The following is a 21791-nucleotide window of genomic DNA, read 5'->3' as shown; positions in this document are numbered from 1 at the left end:
TGAGTTAAGTCATGGCCTTAGAAACACTGGAACATAGAATAAGGTAAACTGTATATCAAATCTTTTTTTTTGTTTTTTGTTTTTTGAGACGGAGTCTAGCTCTGTCGCCCAGGCTGAAGTGCAGTGGCGCGATCTCGGCTCAGTGCAAGCTCTGCTTCTCAGGTTCACGCCATTCTCCTGCCTCAGCCTCCCGAGAAGCTGGGACTACACGCACCCACCACCACGCCCGGCTAACTTTTTGTATTTTTAGTAGAGACGGGGTTTCACTGTGTTAGCCAGGATGGTCTCGATCTCCTGACCTCATGATCCGCCTGCCTCGGCCTCCCAAAGTGCTGGGATTACGGGCGTGAGCCACCACGCCCGGCCCTCAAATCTTTTATTATATGTATGCTTTTTCAGTAAGATAGGACTTCTGATCCTTCCCAAATAGCTGCTTAGAGAAAAATAAATCCATGATTAGGTGCTTTTTCATAACAGCAGGTACTAATTACACTGAAATACATAAATTCCCTTTAAAACCATGTTGTTTAAGTTTACCAGAAATTATAAAATAAACAAAACCAAAAAGATATATTAATACAATATTTCACTTTTTTCTTAATTTAAAATTTTAGTATAAGTAAAAAGTAACTTCAGTATAAGTTATTAACAAAAAATTCAGAAAGTCTTAAGACATCTCCTTAACGTTTTATAAAAGAAAATATCCACAAGTCACTTCCCACAGATTAAAAAAAGCTGGATGGTTTTATTGAATTTAAATAGCAAGGTACATGAACATACAAATGAATAAGTCATACATGAAGATACTGATATAAATCCTGCCCAAATATAATTTTTGCCTGACTGCTAAATAAAGTCATAGTCCATCTTGACTGGAATGACTAGTTTACCTTTAACTCCGGGTGGCTTAAGCTATCAGTCCTTTAAGAAGCTTTACTGGTTTTTGACAATTTAACCTGCTGAGCTCACAGCACCCATGGGAGGGTCTTGGTTGCAAGTTTTACTTCTGATGCTGCTGACCACTAATACTGACTCCATTGATAATGGATTTCAATAACAGCCATCCACAGGTTAACACTGAGTATTACCCATAACACTGCTTTAATTAAGTTAATACATGAAAGTCACAGTTTGGTAGAAAGTTTTATTAAATTTGGCAGTGCTCACAATAATAAAAAAAAATGGTGTTCATCTGTACAATAACTCTTTAAATTTGCCTAGAGATATAATCCAGTTTGCTCATGGATTTATGCTGCATTTCAATTTATTTTCTAAAAGGAATTCAATTTATTAGTTCCATTCCCCCAAAATACATACATTTCTAGCATTTCTAATAGATAGTTTCCTGACAGATAACCCCAACCATGCTGGGCACAGAATGGGTCTGTCTACCTGGCACAAAGAGACCCCCCGCTACAGCAAAGGAGGTTTCCACCCCCACCCCCAATTTAAATTCAAGCATTTTGATGGTGGAAAAGATTCATGCTTTGATTTGTCCATAGTTCATGTGTTAAATATTAATTTGTCTCTGAAATACTGGAATTATTTTTTCATCTTGAAAAGTAAAGACACATAAATTTCACTTTCAAACCCAAACCCTTTATGCATAGAAAACAAGCCAGAGAATATTTACACGAATATATGAAAGGGCAAAGCAAACATAGGTTTAAATGACTCTGTTAAAAAAAAAAGATACCATACTATAAACACAAATCACAGCACAGTTGACACAATTTTCTATTTTTATACATATAAGGAAATCTGAGGTTATTTTATGGAAAAGCAAACAATGGCTGAATTCAGCTCATATACATATTGAATTTGGCAATGATTGTGTTTTTTAAATACACAACCTGACAGGCACTATGGTAGATAATAATGAATCAGCATGGGAGCCATTTAACATACTTCTTGATTAACTCATTGCCTGTCCAATTCGTACACAGACATGCTTACATGTCATAATCGTCATAATTCCCATCATCCCCACCACTAACACTACAGCGCCTTGATTAGTCCACAACTCCCAGACGAGCCATTGCTAATGCTAAATAATTCTCTTCAGCCTCCTGCTACTATTCTGCAGGATCTCCAATTAAATATAGTATTAATGTGAACAAATACCTACCAGGAATCCCATCCTATTCCATTTTACCCAAAAATGCAGAGAAAATAATTTAGCCAAGTCAAAGATAATCAAAACACTTAAAATTGATACAGTATACTGTTTCTGCAAAATAAGTTTTTCCAAAGACAATAAAAGAAAAAAAGAAAAGGAAAAGAAATGTCTACACATCTTAAATGCTTTCTTCTCCTGGTTAGTTCTTTAATGAAAAGTCTATTGTTTTAAATTTGCATAGTAGGTACATTGTATTCTTAATCTAAAAAGATTTCTGAAAGCTAAGTTTTATAAGAAAAGTGAGCAATAGCAAGTTTTAAAGCCATTATGCCATTTTTTAAACCCTTTGATTACCTAATTACCAGACTCCCAGATTCAAAACCATATACTAAGGCAAACAATTCCTCCCTTCCCATTAAATGCAGTACTGCAGTCACTCTCCAGAGGCTTTGCCGTAAGACTTTTTGCTGTTGATAAGGAAAGTTAATATTGAAGAATGGCAACTATAAATACCTTTTGTAAGAATAAATTAAGAATCCTATAGATTTCCTATTGCAACCTAAATGTCTGGAAATATTTCTGATCTAATTAAGACCAACTGTGAAACATGGACCAGGACAGCCATCATCTTAAAATATCCTTTACTAAGAAAAGGCAGTTTAAGAAAATGTTACTGAAATATAACATTCTCAAGTACACACACACACACACACACACACACAAATAAAAGGTCACCTGATACTTTTCAGTTAACACCCCAAAAAAGTTTTCCAAGCCTGACTTTAGTCATTTGCTCCTATTTGAGGATCAGTGATAGGCATCAGCTCCAAACAAGTCCATTAACAATTTTTGTGAAATTAAAAAGAAAATGTTTAATTAAGAACCTTAACTCCTTTCCAAACAGAAAAAGTTTGAAAATATTCTGAAATCATGTAAAGGAGAAAAAATGCGTTTGAGGTTTTCACATTTAAGTTGCTTTCATCTCTATATACATCTAAGGTAAAACTGAAGATACACTGACAAAAATATAAATAAGTGTATGTATATACAGAGACATGTAAATATAAAAAATGAAATAAAGATATTCTAATAATCCCATAAAATGTTGAAAAGTTTAACCCTAAGGTCTTTTATACCTTAGTCTGCATTAATGTGTTCCATTTCCATTTACCTGATCATTACCCTCCAGTTTGTTCAGCTGGAACCAACATACACTAATTACTTAGACATCACCAAGTCCTATTCGTCCTCGGTCCCTCCCCAGACAGCAGGGACATATCATCAAGGGTAGGCATAAAAAGTGATGACTGCCCTCACCTTACTGTCAATCACCCCAGAGTGCTCACAGGAAACCCCACTCAATCTCATTATAGAATCCTGAGGCTGAGACTACAGTGCGCACCAGGGATCATCCTTTCAACAGCAGGCTGCCTGGGTAAGATGTGAGTCACAGTGAATACTTCCCTAATTTTAGGTTCTTGTTTCAACGTGGTAAAATCAGATATTTCTCATTTAAATCCAACATGACTGTACACAGACAAAGCAACAAAATATGTATAGATAGGTTCAATTTAGGAACGTAGATAGAGAATACAGTCAAAGGTTGAATGATTCTGTTGATATACAGAATCATTTTCCTCTTTGGGAATGAAGATTCTCAACTCTTTTCATTTAACCTGATGAGATCTCATTTTTTAAAAAATATCAAAACTTATTTTAGCAGTTTGATATAAATGTGACAATATATTTTACCATTTTTGTGGAAAGACATACTAGTCTTTATACTTAAAACATTCATTTGGAGAAGTACAACAATCTTAAATTCCCAAATTCTTTGCTCTCACTATTCACCAAACTAATGAAATGGGCCCATGTGTCCATTTAGAAACTCCTAGTCACTAAAGCCATTAAACATTTCTCATTCCTTATATTTCTTATCTTCTCTGAGATACCTAAAAATCTCAGTAAATTAGAGGCAAGCAATCCTAGAATTACCTTGTCTTCTAAATCCACATAATATTCATGAGACCCTCTTTAACAACTCAAAAATCCTCCCACATCATCCCACTGCCTAAAATCTAACAAATGTATTCCATAGACCTATGTCTTCTTGCTGACTTACAATGTATTAAAATGTATTTTAATATGTTAGGCTACTCCCCATCAATTTTCCTCAGAATTATCTAGGCTATTCTTGCATATTTACTCTTTGTCAATCCCCCCCCATTATGTTGTTATATTAGGATTTAATAGAAAATGTACAGAAAAGAGCATTTTTAAAAATCGGTTTCCCTATACAAAAATAAGAAGTCCTCATGTAAGTCCTAAAAATTTCATTTTAAATTCACATCATACAGTGTTTTATCATTTCCATTGCTTCTACGAGGTTACATTTCTTGTTGTATTTTCTACCTTATTGATATATAGGAAATTTATAGATTTATTTATATTTACTATTTAACCAACCACCAGAGATTTTTTCTGTTTCTAAAGAGTTATTCAGGGCCAGGTGCAGTGGCTCACGCCTGTAATCCCAGCACTTTGGGAAGCCGAGGAGGGTGGATCACCTGAGGTCAGTAGTTTGAGACCAGCCTGGCCAATATGGTGAAACCCCAACTCTACTAAAATACAAATCCTAGCCAGGCATGGTGGCAGGCACCTGTAATCCTAGCTACTCGGGAGGCTGAGGCATGAGAATGCTTGAACCTGTGAGGCGGAGGTTGCAATGAACCAAGATGGTGCCATTGCACTCCAGCCTGGACGACAGAGTGAGAATTTGTCTCAAAAGAAAAGGAGTTATTCAGTTCATTGTATAACTAGAAACTCAATACAATCTTCTTATTTTTGCCTTTCCTATCCACCAATTTATAGCTCTTGACTAACTGTATCACCTTGTACTTCTGGAATGCTATTTCAGAACACTTGTGGCAGAGACCTCATGAATGAGATCCTTCCCTTGCTCCTTCCACCATGTGAGGACACAGCAAGAAGGCTCCACTAAGAAACTAAGAAAGGAGCCCTCACCAGGGACAACATCTAACAGTGCCTCAATCTTGACTTATCAGCCTCCAGAACTATGAGAAATAAATTCCTGTTGTTTATAAGCCACCCAGACTATGACAATCCATAACAAGCCTGAACAGACTAGGCCAGTGACCAAGAAAAAAGGGAAGGCTCAAATGTCTAAATTTAGGAATGAAAGAGGAGACATTACTACTGACCTTATAAAATAAAAATAAGAAAATACTATACCAATAAGCTAGAAACTTTGATGAAATGGACACATTTGTAGAAAGACATAAACTACAGACACTGATTAAAGAAACAGAATATCTGAAAAAACCTACAATAAGTAAAAAGGTAGATTTAACAATCAAAAACTAACCAAAGAGAAGCCCAGATTCAGATGGCTTCACTGGTGATTTCTACCAGACATTTAAAGAAAAGTTAATACCAATTCTTCCAAAAAAACTAGAAGATGAGAGAAAGGTTTCCAATTCATGAGGCCAGGATCACACTAACACCAAAACCAAGCAAAGACATCATAAGAAAACTGCAGACAATATCTCTTGTAAATATGAACACAAAATTAATAAAATACTAACAAACTGAATCCAGCAATATATACAAAGGATTACACAGCATGACCAAGTGGGATTAATCTCAGGAATTCAAGGCTGGTTTAACACCCAAAAAAATCAATTAATGTAACAATACACCATATAAATAAAGGACAAAAACCACATGATCATCTCAGTAAACACAGAAAAAGCATTTGAAAAAATGCAACACCTGTTCTTGATAAAAATCCCTCAGTAAACTAGGAATAGCAATTAACTTCTTCCACCTGATAATGAAAGTCTATGAAAATACCAGAGCCTAAATCAAATTTAAGGGTGAAATGCTGAATGCTTTCCCCCTAAGATGAAGAACAAGACAAGGATGCCTCCTCTCACCTCTTCAACATTGTTCTGGAAGTTAAAGCCAGAGAAATCAGGCAAGAATATGAAATAAAAAGCATCCAGATGGAAAGAAGTAAAACTATCTCTATTCACACATGACATGATCTTATATAAAGAATCCTGGCCGGGCACAGTAGCTCATGCCTGTAATCCCAGCACTTTGGGAGGCTGAGGTGGGCAGATCACAAGGTCAGGAGTTTGAGCCCAGCCTGGTCAACGTGGTGAAACTCCACCTCTACTAAAAATACAAAAAATTAGCCGGGTGTGGTGGCAGATGCCTGTAGTCCCAGCTATTCCGGAGGCTGAAGCAGGAGAATTGCTTGAACCTGGGAGGCGGAGGTTACAGTGAGCCAAGATCGCACCATTGCACTCCAGCCTGGGCAACAGAATGAGACTCGGTCTCAAGAGAGAAAAAAAAAAAAAAAAGAATCCTAAGGCCCAGACGCAGTGGCTCACACCTGTAATCCCAGCACTTTGGGAGGCCACAGCGGGAGGATCACTTGAGGTCAGGAGTTCGAGACCAGCCTGGCCAACATGGTGAAACCCCATCTCTACTAAAAGTACAAAAAAATTAGCTGTGCGTGGTGGCGCATGCCTGTAACCCCAGCTACGCAGGAGGCTGAGGCAGGAGAATCACTTGACCCCCGGGAGGTGGAGGTTGCAGTGGGCCAAGATCATGCCACGACACTCCAGCCTGGGTGACAGAAACTCCATCTTTAAAAAAAAAAAAAAAAAAAAAAAACCTAAGAAATCCACTAAAAAACTATTAGAACTAATAAAAGAGTTCAGCAAGTTTACAGGAATCAAAATCATTATATGAAAATCATTTGTATTTCTACAGACTTGCAACTAATTTAAAAAATTGAAATTAAAAAACTAATTACACTTATAGTAGTATGAAACTACAAAACATTGCTGAAAGAAATCCAAGTGACCTAAATATGGAAGAATATCACATGTTCATGGATAGGAAGACTTAAAAACGTTGAGATAGCTATACACTCCAAAATGATCTACAGACACAATGCAATATCAATCAAAATCCCAGCTGGTTACATTCTTGCACTAGAATTGTCTTCTCTTCATAAACTATTCTCCACAAATCTTCCCAGAGAATAATAAGCGTGCTTTCCTAGGGCCTGGAAAATGAAACATAAAAAAAAATTCATGACTTAATAAGAGGCTTAACTCCCATTTTGCTTTCTCCTGCCCTGACCAATTCCCATTGGAGTATTTTATACTGCTTCCCTATAGCCTCATCCCCTGGATTCAGGCACATTAATCTCATCATTATAAATGAATTGTTTTCCTAGGGAAAGCCTGACTTTAAGACTGCTCTAGATCAGTCTTTATTTCTCAAAGAAATTAAGGGAATTTCCTCAACAAAGAATAGGATGTCATATTGTTTTAAGACAAACCAACAATAAGCCAACTAAATAACCTGCAAATCCTCCTTAGAAACATCTAAAGACCTAGATTAAATATAACAAACATCCTTCAAATGAAGAGCTTGGCTCACAAAAAAACTACAAGGGATGAAAAAGAAAAAGGAAGCAGGGCACAACGGCATGTGCATGTAGTCCCAGCTACTCAGGAGGCTGAAGCAGGACAATCACTTGAGCCCAGGAGTTCATGGCTGTAGTTTGCTATGATCACACCACTGCACTCCAGCCTGGGCAACAGAGTAAGGCTCTGTCTCAAAAAAAAAAAAAAAAAAAGTAATCTGAAAATCTGGCTGGGCATGGTGGCTCAAACCTGTAATCCCAGCACTTTGGGAGGCTGAGGCGGGTGGATCACTTGAGGTCAGGAGTTCGAGACCAGCCTGGCCAACATGGTGAAACCCTGTCTCTACTGAAAATTCAGTAGTTTGGTGATGCATGCCTGTAAGCCCAGCTACTCGGGAGGCTGAGGCAGGAGAATCGCTTGAACCCAGGAGATGGAGGTTGCAGTGAGCTGAGATTGCGCCATTGCATTCCAGCCTGGACAACAAGAGCAAAACTCCGGCTCAAATAAATAAATAAATAAATAATATAAAAATGAAAATCAGTCTGCATCCACAAGAGCCAGTCTTGGAGAGTGAAGGTGGGAATCTCAATAATCTAGAAGATTGGGTTTTAACGATCAGAGAAAGGAAACAGATCCCGTGTGAGTTGGAGGTTTGAAGGAAACCCTTCTGTCTAAAGCCAGGAGGCTCAAAGATTACATTCTCAGTGAAAGGTTGTGGGGGAGGAATCAACCTACGAAATAGAGAGGATAAACCCTATGCTCGTATCTCTGTGGTTCAAAGTAAACGAAAATGTCTCTAGATATTAGAAACCATGAGCCTATTCAACAGGTGTGTATCTGTGTGTGTGCAATCTCATTTTGTTCTTCCCATTATCTTCAAAATTTGACAATCTTTATGCCAAAAATTTAATATAAAAATTAGTCCCAGATGAGTGATACCCTGGAGGGTGTGATGGAAACAAATATACCACCTATCCTACCTGGCCAAATCCATAACCCAAACCATCTTGAAATTCAACAACAAAAGCACCAAACATAGAATCACACACCAAAATTTAAACATGCGAGGAAACAATATGTTATGAGGAAGAGTCAGGAATAGAAATAAACACCCACAAACTTGAAATAATACAATAATATGATAGATTCTTTAAATTAAATATGCTAAAAATAAATATACTAAAGGCCTCAAATACATAAGAAAAAAGATAATACATAAAAACAGGCAGATTCAAAAAGGAGCAGAAAATCAACAGCTTACTCCACAGACAGCAAACAAGACAAATGTAACCAAAGTAATCAGGCTCAGGCAATTTTCATTATCGATGCAAAAACATTAGATGAGAGGTGGTTGAGGGACAAAATATTCACAAGGATTCAAAAACTCACCCCAAAAATTATTTAATAAAAAAAAAGAAAATGTACCATTATAATGGGAAGACCTGATGAAACCAAATGATCATACTTAGCATAACAACAGAACAATTCAACATTAAGAACCTCTTGTTATGATATTACTATTAAAAAAAATAACATTACTGGCTGGGGTACGGTGGCTCACGCCTGTAATCCTAGCACTTTGGGAGGCCAAGGCAAGAGGATCTCTTGAGCCCAGGAGTTCAAGACCAGCCTGGGAAAGATGGTGAAACCCCATCTTTACAAAAAATACAAAAATCAGCCAGGCGTGGTGGCATGCACCTGTAGTCACAACTACTTGGGAAACTAAGGTGGGAGGATCGCTTGTGCCCAGGAAGTCAGGCTGCAGTGAGTTATAATCTCACCACTGCACTCCAGCCCGGGCAACTGAGAGAGACTCTGTCACAAAAAAAAGAAAAAAAGAAAGAACATCACTTATGAAGTAGTCTTGTCAAATATTTAATCTGAATCTATTCATGAGAAAATAGATTCCATACAAAGCCAAAATATCTAAAAGCCAACATAATAAAAATCAAACAAAAAAAGAGGGAGAATAGGGGCACTATTTTAGATTAAGAGACTAAAGAGGTATAATAAACAAATGTAACTCATGAACCTTGATTGAACTGTGGATCAAAGAAAAATATTAAAAAGGACAACTGGGGTCAACTGGAAAAACCTGAATGTGGTAGGCATATTACATGATATTATAGAATAATGAGTTATTTTCTTAGGTTTCATAAGGTATTATAGATATGTAGAAAACCATACTTATTACTGCGAGATGAATAGTATTTACGGGTAAAATGCCACAATGTCTGTAACTTATTTTCTTTTTTTTTTTTTTTCTTTTTTTTTGAGATGGAGTCTTGCTCTGTCGCCCAGGCTGGACTGCAGTGGCACGATCTCAGCTCACTGCAAGCTCCGCCTCCCGGGTTCACACCATTCTCCTGCCTCAGCCTCCCAAGTAGCTGGGACCACAGGAGCCTGCCACCACGCCTGGCTAATTTTTTGTATTTTTAGTAGAGACAGGGTTTCACCGTGTTAGCCAGGATGGTCTCGATCTCCTGCCCTCATGATCTGCCCGCCTCAGCCTCCCAAAGTGCTGGGATTACAGGCGTGAGCCACTACGCCCGGCCTCTTTTTTTTTCTTTTTCCTGTCCAGGGGATTCTTTTTAATGCTGCTTTTTTTACATATATATATATACTTTAAGTTCTAGGGTACATGTGCACAACGTGCAGGTTTGTTACATAGGTATACATGTCTCATGTTGTTTTGCTGCACCCATCAACTCGTCATTTACATTAGGTATTTCCCCTAATGCTATCCCTCCCCCATCCCCCAACCCCACAACAGGACACAGTGTGTGATGTTCCCTACCCTGTGTCCAAGTGTCTTCATTGTTCAATTCCCACCTATGAGTGAGAACGTGCAGTGTTTTGTTTTCTGTCCCTGTGATAGTTTGCTGAGAATGATGGTTTCCAGCTTCATCCATGTCCTGTAACTTATTTTCAAATTGTTTAGCCAAAAAAAAAAAAAATGCACACACACAATGTACATATGGATACAAATATAAAGCAAACAAGCCAAAATGTTAACAATTGCTGAATCTAGGTGAAGGGTATACAGATACCGTTATACTGGTATATAACAGTAAACTGATACCAATATACTGGTACTACTTTTCTAATTTTTTTCATTATGTTTGAAGAAATGCTTCAGAAAAAAATATAAATGAATGACCAATAACACAAAAAAGTACTCAACATCAGTATTCATCAGGAAAATCTAAAATTAAAAACACAATGACATACTGCTTCACAACCACTTAAAAATAAAACACAAAATCAAATGGACTGAAAACACCAAGTGTTGGCAAGGACACAAAAGCACCCTGACCTAGACATTTCTGGAGGGAGTAAAATATGATACAACCATGAAGGAGAACTATTTAGCAGCTTCTTATAAATTTAAACATGCATGTATTTATTCTAGGCATCAGCAAAATACTGTCTACCCACTGGCCAAATCTGATCCAAGGGCTGTTTTTGCACAGCTCTCAAGCTAACAATAGTTTTCACATTTTTAAAGTGTTGTTAAAACAAAACAAAACAAAACAAAAAGAAGCATATGTAACAGCGACCACAGGGGCCTGCAAAATCTAAAATATATTTGCTATCCAGACAAAAATGTATTTACTTTCAAACAAAAAAAGGTTGCCAACTCCTTATCTACCCTAAGACCCAGCTACTCCACTCCTAGATATTTACCCAAAAAAAATCAAAATTATGTTCACAAAAAGACATGCAAAAGTTATACTTATAAAAATCTTGTTCATGGTATCTAAAAATTGGGGAAGGGGGGTAATTGGCCAGCTCATCCTAAAATTCACATGGAAGAGCGAAGGACCAAGAATACTGAAGACAATTTTGAAGAACATGTTGGAGGGAAGGGACCAACAGAGGTAAACTGCATAATCATCTCTAAAAGCCAACATTTTTCTATCAAACATTAATTGTTTGCAAGTTAGCTGGCTTTCCTTCCTTGTGTGACTTATTAGTTGATATGTGCAGTATCCATTCATCTTTTTCCTTGCATAATTACCTTAAAAATTAGTTGTTTATAATAGACAATGAATAGCTTTTGCAATCAATTGTTGCAGTATTTTCCTACTGGAATAGTATTTACATTTCCACATGTGAAATTAACATACAAAGCCTATAAAGTTTTTTACTCCAAGTTACATTTAAAATGCTCACCTCTTGAAAACAAACATGCAAAAATTAATACATCTGAATAGCATGGCTTTTTCATATTACTGATATTATAAAGCTGATTAGCTATGATAGTAACCTCTGTGATCACGTGCTGAGGATGCAAAAGATGCTGTTACAGGAATTCACCTTTTCAGCCTCCTTGAGACTGAAACAGAAACCACATAGCAGATTTGACCCTACTGTTGAGGTTTAAATGAAACTTTTGACATTCCCACCATCATTATCCTGCTTTTACTTATAGTATCTTTCTAGAAATTGACCTAAAGTAGGTCATAGTAAGAGAAAGTTTTGACTGAGTGTGCAATTGCTTCCATTGTGGGGTCTGGTAAATTTTATTATAAATTATGTATCATAATCTCTGGTATATTCCCTACTGCTTTCAGCCAGAAGTGGTGAAAAGTCTCTAAAATGTAAAACTACCACATCTGCTTCAGGGAAGGTACAAATGAGAAAAACCTAACAACAATTCTTTTGAAACCACTTTTGCAAAGTCTGAAAAGTCTACCTGTAGATCAGAATTCAATCATGCGCCATATGACAGCTTGGTCGGTAATGTACTGCATCTACATTTCAGCTCCAATAATGGAGCTGAAAAATTCCTATTTGCCTAGTGATGTCTTTTTTTATTTTTGTGGGTATACAGGAGGTGTATATGTTTATGGAGTACATGAAATATTTTGATACAAGCATACAATGTATAATAATCACATCAGGATAAATGGGGTAGCCATCATCTAAATCATTCATTTATTTGTGTTACAAGCATCCCAATTCTATTCCCTAAATTATTCTAAAATGTACCACAAATTACTGCAGACTGTAGTCACCCTGTTGTGCTATCAAATACAAGATCTTATTTATTCCATCTAACTATATTCTTGTACTCATTAATCATCCCCACCCCTCCCGCTCCATACACCCTGCCAAGCCTCTGGTAACCATCCTTCTACTCTCTCTCTATGAGTCCAATTGTTTTCATTTTTAGCTCCCACAAATGAGTGAGTACATGCAAAACTTGTCTTTCTGTGCCTGGCTTATTTCACTTAACATGTCCTCCACCAGTTCCATCCATGCTATTGCAAATGACAAGATCTCATTCTTTTCTATGGCTGAATGGTACCGTACATATGTACATTTTCTTTATCCATTCATCTGTTGATGGATACTTAAGTTGCCTCCAAATCTTGGCTATTGTGAAAAATGCTACAATAAACATGGGAGTGCAGATATCTCCTCCATATACTGATTTCCCTGGTGCTAGGTGTACACCTAGAAGCAGATGTACATCTAGCAGCCGGATCATATGATAGTTTTAGTTTTTTGAGAAACCTCCATACTGTTCTTTATAGTGGTTGTATTAATTTACATTCCCACCAACAGCATATGAGGGTTCTTTCTCTACATCCTCGCCAGTACTCGTTATGTCTTTTGGATAAAAGCCGTTTTAACCGGGGTAAGATTTTATCTCATTGTACTTTTGATTTGCATTTCCGTAATGATCAGTAATGTCGAGCACCTTTACATATACCTGTTTGTGATTTGTATGTCTTCTTTTGAGAAATGACTATTCAGATCTTTTGCCCCTTTTTATTTTCCTTTGGACATAGTCTCGCCTGGTCGCCCACGCTACAGCGCAGTGGCACGATCTTGGCTCACAGCAACCTCCACCTCCCAGGTTCAAGCTTCTTGCCCCAGTCTCCAAGTAGCTGGGACTACAGATGTGTGCCACCACACGCGGCTAATTTTTGTATTTTTAGTAGAGACAGGGTTTCACCATCTTAGCCAGGCTGGTTAAACATCCATTTATTTATTCTAGGTCTCAAACTCATGACCTCAAGTGATCTGCCCGCTTGGCCTCCCAAAGTGCTGGGATTACAGGTGTGAACCACCACACCTGGCCATTTTGCCCATTTTTTAATCAAATTACTAGATTTTTTTCCTATAGAGTTGTTTGAGCTCCTTATACATTCTAGTTACTAATCCCTCATCAGATGGGTAGTTTGCAAATATCTTCTCCCATTCTGTGGGTTGTCTCTTCATTTTGTTGTTTCCTTGGCTGTGTAGAAGCTTTCTAACTTGATGTGATCCCATGCCTACTGATGTCTTGATGAGCCTGATCCTCTGCAGGTCTAGGCTAATGTGTGCATTTGAGTCTTCGTTTTTACCAAAAAAGTTCAAAAAGTCAAAAATAAATGAAAAATAAAAAACTTTAAAAACAGAAAAAAGCTTATAAAATAAGGATATAAAGAAAACATTTTTGTACAGTTATACAGTGTTTGCATTTTATGCTGTTTTATTATGAAAGAGTCAAAGAGTAAACCGGGCGTGGTGGCTCACGCTTGTAATCCCAGCACGTTGGGAGGCCAAAGCAGGTGGATTACCTGAGGTCAGGAGTTCAAGACCAGCCTGGCCAACATGGTGAAACCCCGTCTCTACTAAAAATACAAAAATTAGCCGAGCGTGGTGACACATGCCTGTAATCCCAGCTACTGGAGAGGATGAGGCAGGAGAATGGCTTGAACCCGGGAGACAGAGGTTGCAGTGAGCCAAGACTGCACCACTGCACTCTAGCTTGGCCAACAGAGCAAGACTCTGTCTCAAAAAAAAAAAAAAAAGAAAGAGTCAAAGAGTAAAGACAAAATTTAAAAGTTTATAATTTAAAAAAGTTATGGTATGCTAAGGTTAATTTATTATTGAAGAAAGAAAACTATTTTTCTATAAATGTCGTGTAGCCTAAGTATACAGTGTTTATGAAGTCTATAGTAGTGACGGTAATGTCCTAGGCCTTTGATCACTCCCTGACTCATCCAGACCAGCTTCCAGTCCTGCAAGCTCCATTCACAGTAAGTGCCCTATACAAGTGTACCATTTTTTATCTTTTATACTATATTTTTACTGTACCTTTTCTGTGTTTAGATACACTTATATACACAAATACTTACCATTGTGTTACAATTGCCTACAGTATTTAGTACAGTCACGTGCTGCACAGGTTTGTAGCACAGGAGGAATAGGCTATACTATATAGGTGTGTACTAGGCTGTATCATCAAGGTTTGTGTAAGTACATTCTGTGATGGTCACACAATATTGAATTCACCTAACGATGCATTTCTCAGAACATATCCCTGTCATTAACTGATGGACCCTACCAAAGGGTCCCATTATCAAAAGTAGTATGAGACAATGAGAAACAATGCTTGCATTAGTATTCAACTACTTATATTTCATGCCATAAAGATTTAATAATTTACATTCTTTCCCCATGGGATTTTTTTCTACTCATTCATAACATTACTACTAAAAAAAATCCCTGCTGTGGGCCGGGTGTGGTGGCTCAAGCCTGTAATCCCAGCACTTTGGGAGGCCGGGGCAGGCAGATCACCTAAGGTCAGGAGTTCAACACCAGCCTGGCCAACTTGGTGAAACCCTGTCTCTACAAAAATACAAAAATCAGCCAGGCATGATGGCAGGTGCTTGTAATCCCAGCTACTCCGGAGGCTGAGGCGGGAGAATCGCTTGAACCCAGGAGGCAGAGGTTGTAGTGAGGTGAGATCACACCACTGCACTCCAGCCTGGACAACAAAGCAAGACTCTGTCCCAAAAAAAAAAAAAAAAAAGGCCTGCTGTGTTAAAAGTACCAAATAAAAGTATATCTGCTTTATGCTAAACCTTCTTTTGTTTGTATCCAATTAGCATTAGCCTACCTTTCATTTTTGTCAAACTTTCAGCTGAACACGTTGAAGCATTTAGGAAAGGTTAAACAATTGTAGCATTCCCTTAGTGATACTGAAGCTATGCTGGGGGAAAGTGCTCTCATAAGGGAGCACTGTGTAAACATTTCATTAATCTTTGACTCAAATTTTCTCATGCTTTGCTTAAATCTACTTGGTGACCAGCAATCAGCCTGGCAATTTTTCTGTCTAAGTTTTTAAAGCTATGAAAAGAAAATACTTACGGCACATATAGAAGATACTGTGATACTGTCGTTTTGCTTAACACAACAGTGAACAAGTAAACAGTTTTTAAACTTGAATGTATCTTGTGCAGGCCAAGAAAAAAAGCCTGTATGTCTCACTTTTTCTGCTTGACCCAAAATTAAGTCCTGATTTAAACAAAGCAAAAATATACTTACAGAACTAGCATCAACATCACTGTGGATGGCAACTGTCTTAATGCCCATCTTCTTGCAAGTTCTAATAACCTATTTTAAAATATATTAATGTCTATTAATAGTGATTCACACTTAAAGGGGTTTAATAAATAATTTCAGAGTAAAATGGAAAATAAGACGAAAATTCTACTCACCCGACATGCAATTTCTCCTCTATTAGCAACAAGAATTTTATCAAAAGTCTGAAGAGAGAAAAAACACATTCATTAGAAATTGTTACTTTTAAACCGATGGTTTAAGACCAAAAAACACCAAGTTTTTCCAACATCAACACTGAATATAACCCTAATAAACATTACTTCCTAGAGTAACATTAAATACTATATTACTTACAGTAATATTAAATGTACTATAAATACTTAGGGTAATATTAAAATAGGTTATTAAATAGTATAACCGTTTACAACCAGGGAACTACAAAATTCATCTGATATGATCGGGTTCTATAATTACTTTGTTAAAGCATAGTAGGTTAATGTATTCACAATGGGGGTATCTACATATTCTGTAGCCAAAAGAAAATCTTCAAATGATATTTCAGACACTAAAAGACTTTGGTCAAGCCCGGGTGCAGTGGCTCACGCCTGTAATCCCAGCACTTTGGGAGGCCAAGGCAGGTGGATCACGAGGTCAGGAGCTCGAGACCAGCCTGACCAACACGGTAAAACCCCATCTCTACTAAAAATACAAAAAGGCTGGGCACGGTGGCTCACGCCTGTAATCCAGCACTTTGGGAGGCCAAGGTGGGTGGATCACGAGGTCAGGAGATCGAGACCATCCTGACCAATATGGTGAAACCCTGTCTCTACTAAAAATACAAAAAAAAAAAAAAAAAAAAAAAAAAGGAGCTGGGTCTAGTGGTACGCGCCTCTAATCTCAGCTACTCGGGAGGCTGAGGCAGGAGAATGGCTTGAACCCGGGAGGCGGAGACTGCAGTGAGCTGAGATCACGCCACTGCACTCCTGTCTGGTGACAAAGCGAGTCTCCATCTCTAAATAAATAAATAAATAATTTAAATACAAAAATTAGCCGGCGTGATGGTGCATGCCCGTAATCCCAAGTGCTGGTAATCCCAAGTAATCCCAGCTACTTGGGAGGCTGAGGCAGGAATCACTTGAACCTGGGAGGCGGAGGTTGCAGTGAGCTAAAATCGTGCCACTGCACTCCAGCCTGGGTGACAGAGCAAGATTCCGTCTCAAAAAATAAATAAATAAATAAACAAAAAAAACACTTTGGCCAAAATTACTTGACAATTTATTTTCTAAATTCTGGGAAATTCTAAGTGTCATGAGTTGTTTTCAAAGGGAAGTCTGATACTAAGTAAGTATAATTTATCTGCTATCTCTGTTGGGACAGGGCATATTTTCAGTAACTCAGAATAGGTACCTAATTGTGCATATATCCAAAAATGCCCAGACTAAGCAGATTACACCATTTGAATCCAATGTTAAGTTTGAATAACCACCAAATTTTGAAGCAGCTGAGACCAAACAGTAGAGAAGTTGTGTATCCTGTGTTTATCTAGAGACCTAAACCCAAGTCCAGCTTTGCCACTAATGACCTATTTAACTTTAAGTAAATCAATCTCTGTAGGCCTTGATTTCCACATAAACTGGTAGCACTCAAATGGAAAGCTATTTAGTAAGGTTTTCTTCCTACTCTAAAATTGTACAAGCTAATCGTTTTTCAAAACACACCATTCCAAGTAATTTGGATGTAATACACATTAGCACACGGTAATTTCTGTATTTGTGAATTATTTTTAAGTTCAACGGAACTACAGAAAAAAAGTGTCAGTTATATTTCTAAAAGAAGAGTTAGAGTTATAAATGACCTTTTAAAAAGTACTCTTATATAACCTAGAGCAGTTTGTTTGTTTGTTTGTTTTTTGAGATGGAGTCTCACTCTGTCGCCCAGGCTGGAGTGCAGTGGTACGATCTCAGCTCACAGTAACCTCCGTCTCCCAGGTTCAACATATTCTCCTGCCTCAGCCTCCTAATAGCTGGGATTACAGGTGCGCACCACCAAGCCCGGCTAATTTCTTTGTATTTTTAGTAGAGATGGGGTTTCCCCATGTTGGTCAGGCCGGCCTCGAACTCCTGACTTCAGGTGATCCGCCTGCCTCGGCCTCCCAAAGTGCTGGGATTACAAGCCTGAGCCACCACACCCGGCCTAGAGCAGTATTTTAACATACAGGAAAAAGTCCAGAATCTCAGAAGTGAAAAAAGCTTGCTAGGTCTTGGTTTAACCTTTACATCATATATGTCTTAACTCCTCCAACCCGAGCCAAGCCCCTGCCTTAAAAATAGGTAAACTTCTAATGTGATAAAACTCGAAGCCACTCAGAGCCTTGCTCACATCTCAGGTCTGAGAATGCATAATCATCTACTTTTCTGTATTTAAATGGTCATGGTAAACCCCTCTTAAACAGTAAGCATATCCTGAGAACACAATGTTTACACTTTCTTAAATGGGTTTTAAAATATGATGTTAATATTAACTGTGAAACAGACCACATCTGATAATCACCACAAACACCACTCCTAGAAATTACATATTAAGCAATTGTTACAGCGAATACAACAAATCATGATAACAATGGAAGAATTAAGCAAGAATCCCCATTCTAATTTCTGTTCAGGCAGCAGAATGGTCATTACGAGTCAGTCTGCAGCCAAGCCACCCAGGCTGAACTCCCAACATTCTATGTTCTCCTCCTGTGTGTCCTGCTATGAACAAGTCACCCTTCTTGCCTCTCATTTCCTGGTATGTAAAATAAGGGTAAAAACAGCACCTGCCACAAGAGGTTGTGAGAATGATTTGAATTAACACTCTTAAAGTGTTTAGAATAATGTCTAGCATGTAATATATACTCATTCAGCATTAGCTATGGCTACTGTTCTTCACCCCTTTGGGCTACATGCCAGACTGTTATGAATTTAGGAGTGTGCCCCTATCTGTCTAACTGGGGAAAAGCTATAACAAAACAAATACCTGCACCTGACACATCTTCTCTGTTAAGGGCTATTAATGTATTACCAATTAGCGCATAAAACCCAATAAAACTAATCATATCAATTAATCTTCCATACATAAAATTTTCTTCTAAATAAATCATAGATGCATATAATTCAGAATTTTTAAAGTACAAAAGGGGATACACTGAAGAGACACCCAAGTCCCTGCCCAAAAGGCAACCACTGTTACTGGTCTCCTATATATTCTTCCAGGTAGGCTATGCCTATAAAAGAATATGCATACAAATCAATTAAACCCAACCTTAAAACTGCCCCTCTGCATCAACAATTACAGGTAAATATCAAGTGCATTTGGCAACTTCAAAGTAAAATATGGCACAAACACAACAAATTGTGTTAAATGCTCTAATAAGGCTTTGTGCAGGATGCTACACACAGAGAAGGGAGCACATGAACAGCATGTGTAAAGGCCGTGACACTGGAAGAAGAGGGTAGCACTAAGCAACTACAAGGAATTCTCAATATGACTGAAGCGCATGGTATGCTTAGGAGAGTTGTAGCAAATAAAGCTAGGATAAAAAAAAGTCCAGATGATGGAAGGACTCATATGCCATTCAAGGAACTGGGACTTGATCCTATATGTGGAGAGTCACTCATAAGGCACCCTGAAGACACTCAGGAAAAAACAACTATAAATTAGGATCCTGGATCCTTGAAGATAGATGAGAATTCAGGTACCAGAAGAGATAATGAAGAACTTTGGCAGTAGCTGCTCTATAACTGTACTAATAATGTCATCTGAAGTAAAAGATTTCCTAAGGATCTTTTTTGCTGTTGTTATTTTTCTCTTAACCCATTCTCTCTCTATCCCTCCTTCTTCCTTTCCCTTCCCTAGGTTTAGATGCTCTCTCCCAGGCTCTAACTCCATAGCTAGCACCACACTCCATTCAGAGACCAAGAGGACTGAGCTGGCCCTGCACTGGGTACTTGTTGGAATGACGGCAGAACTCTGGACACTGGGTCACTTGCCCAACTCTTCTGAGAAAGGATACAGCACAATGGGTAAGTCCACCAGCTCTGGAAAAGGACAGGCATGAGTTTACACCCAGCTACTCACTATCCATGGGCTTTGAGTCTTGCTTTCCAAATGTGCAAAATTCAGTTAAGGACATTAAGCAGCCGACACTTAGGACACGTTTTGTATACAGCAGGCACTGTGATGAATCTCTTCTGTGCATTATCTCATCTATCAGGTAATGGCTATGATGACAATATTTAGCATAATAATCCCACGAAGTCAGTTCTGATAATATCTCCGTTTTACAAATAAGAAAACTAAGGCTTGATGAGGCCAAATCACTTGCCTTAAATCACTTACAAAGTTCACTAGTGGCAAAGTCAGAGAGTTCACATCCAGGTATTCATGTCAGAAATATCATGATATAATGTAATCAGAGTATAACAATGCAAGCTCTAAACACTATGTTATTAATAACACCTAAGATCACTTTTTTTTTTCTTAAGAGACGGGGTTTTGCTCTGTTACCCAGGTTGATATGGAACTCTCGGTCTCAAGGAATCCCGTGTCTCGGCCTCCCAGAGCGCAGGGACTGTAGGCGTAAGCCACTGAGCCCAGCCAGCTCACATCAGTGTGACAGGAACAACACAGTACTGTACTGGCTCACACTAACTTAAGGCCAACTGAAACTTAATGGTCTTGATCCAAGCAAGCTACCATAAGTTAAATCTTCCTTATTCTCATGAACATACATAAGACAACAAGTTAGCTTGTTAAAACTCAAGTTAAAAAAAATAACGTTTTCAGTAATGATTAAATTTCACCCGGATAATTTGCACATGATGTAAGTCACTGATAAAATGTGGAATAAGAAATGAGTTAATAACAGATTCAAACGAGAATCAATTTATTTAACAAATATGTATTACACCAAAGACCAAGTCTACTTGCACTTGGGACAGTAGGTATAAACAAACCAGGTCAGTATTTAATGAATGGTTACAAGGACAGCAGGAATCCGGGAAGGAGAAAGGTCTGATTAAGTGCAGCCCTCAAGTGAAGGGTGAAGCGACCAACTTAGTCTGAACATGTACCTGTACTATGAATAGGTGCCAAAGAATATTCATCACTCACTGAGGGAAACACAGTTTCTCCACAGTCACCTTAGGCAAGGGCACAGCAAAGGAGATGGCAAAGATAGCAGGGAGCAGAATTGATTTCAGGATTTATGACGAAACATGCTAAGTGAATTCCAAGGAGATTCCACTTCTACACCTTTATCCCTCGTATCTCTTTAAATGTGCTAAACCTGGGCCAGGCACGGTCGCTCATGCCTACAATGCCAGCACTTTGGGAGGTGGAGACAGGTGGATCACCTGAGGTCAGGAGTTCGAGACCAGCCTGGCCAACATGGTGAAACTCCATCTCTACTAAAAATACAAAAAAAAATTAGCCGGATGTGGTGGTGTGTGCCTGTAATCCCAGCTACTCGGGAGGCTGAGGCAGGAGAATCGCTTGAACTCGGAAGGTGGAGGTTGCAGTGAGCCAAGATCATGCCACTGCACTCCAGCCTGGGTGACAGAGCGAGACTCTGTCTCAAAAATAAATAAATAAATGTGCTAAACCCAGACAGTTACATACATTTATTTATTTTTAGTAATTACCAGTGGTCACCAATGTGGGAGGTCAGTTAGCTATTTCTGTAACTTCACTATGAGGTTATAATGAAAGCAAGTACCAGACCAAACTCTGTCCACACATACAAACATTTATTAAGACATAAAAAGAATCATAAAACCTGCTTGATAAGTTCAGTGGAATCTTAACTTCCTGTACTTTGT

The 21791-nt window shown here is 38.2% G+C and overlaps 1 protein-coding gene across 33 annotated transcripts in view; it reads right to left on the bottom strand.

The window, feature by feature from the left end:
* Positions 1-21791, bottom strand: part of PCCA (propionyl-CoA carboxylase subunit alpha) — a 441343-nt gene that overhangs the window by 402459 nt on the left and 17093 nt on the right. For all 33 annotated transcript variants that reach the window (NR_148030.2, NR_148027.2, NR_148028.2 and 30 more), the window contains 2 exons: positions 16089-16136; positions 15916-15984 (listed from right to left, as the gene is read on the bottom strand). Coding sequence is in view for 24 of the 33 variants with exons in the window: in XM_017020609.2 (XP_016876098.1) it covers positions 15916-15984; positions 16089-16136 (117 nt within the window). In the remaining 9 variants the exon portion in view is untranslated. The remainder of the gene's footprint in view (positions 1-15915; positions 15985-16088; positions 16137-21791) is intronic.

This window comes from Homo sapiens, chromosome 13 (assembly GCF_000001405.40).
Source record: "Homo sapiens chromosome 13, GRCh38.p14 Primary Assembly".
NCBI lineage: Eukaryota > Metazoa > Chordata > Mammalia > Primates > Hominidae > Homo > Homo sapiens.
Note: the sequence above shows the minus strand (reverse complement) of the source record. Positions and strands in the feature narration are given on the sequence as shown.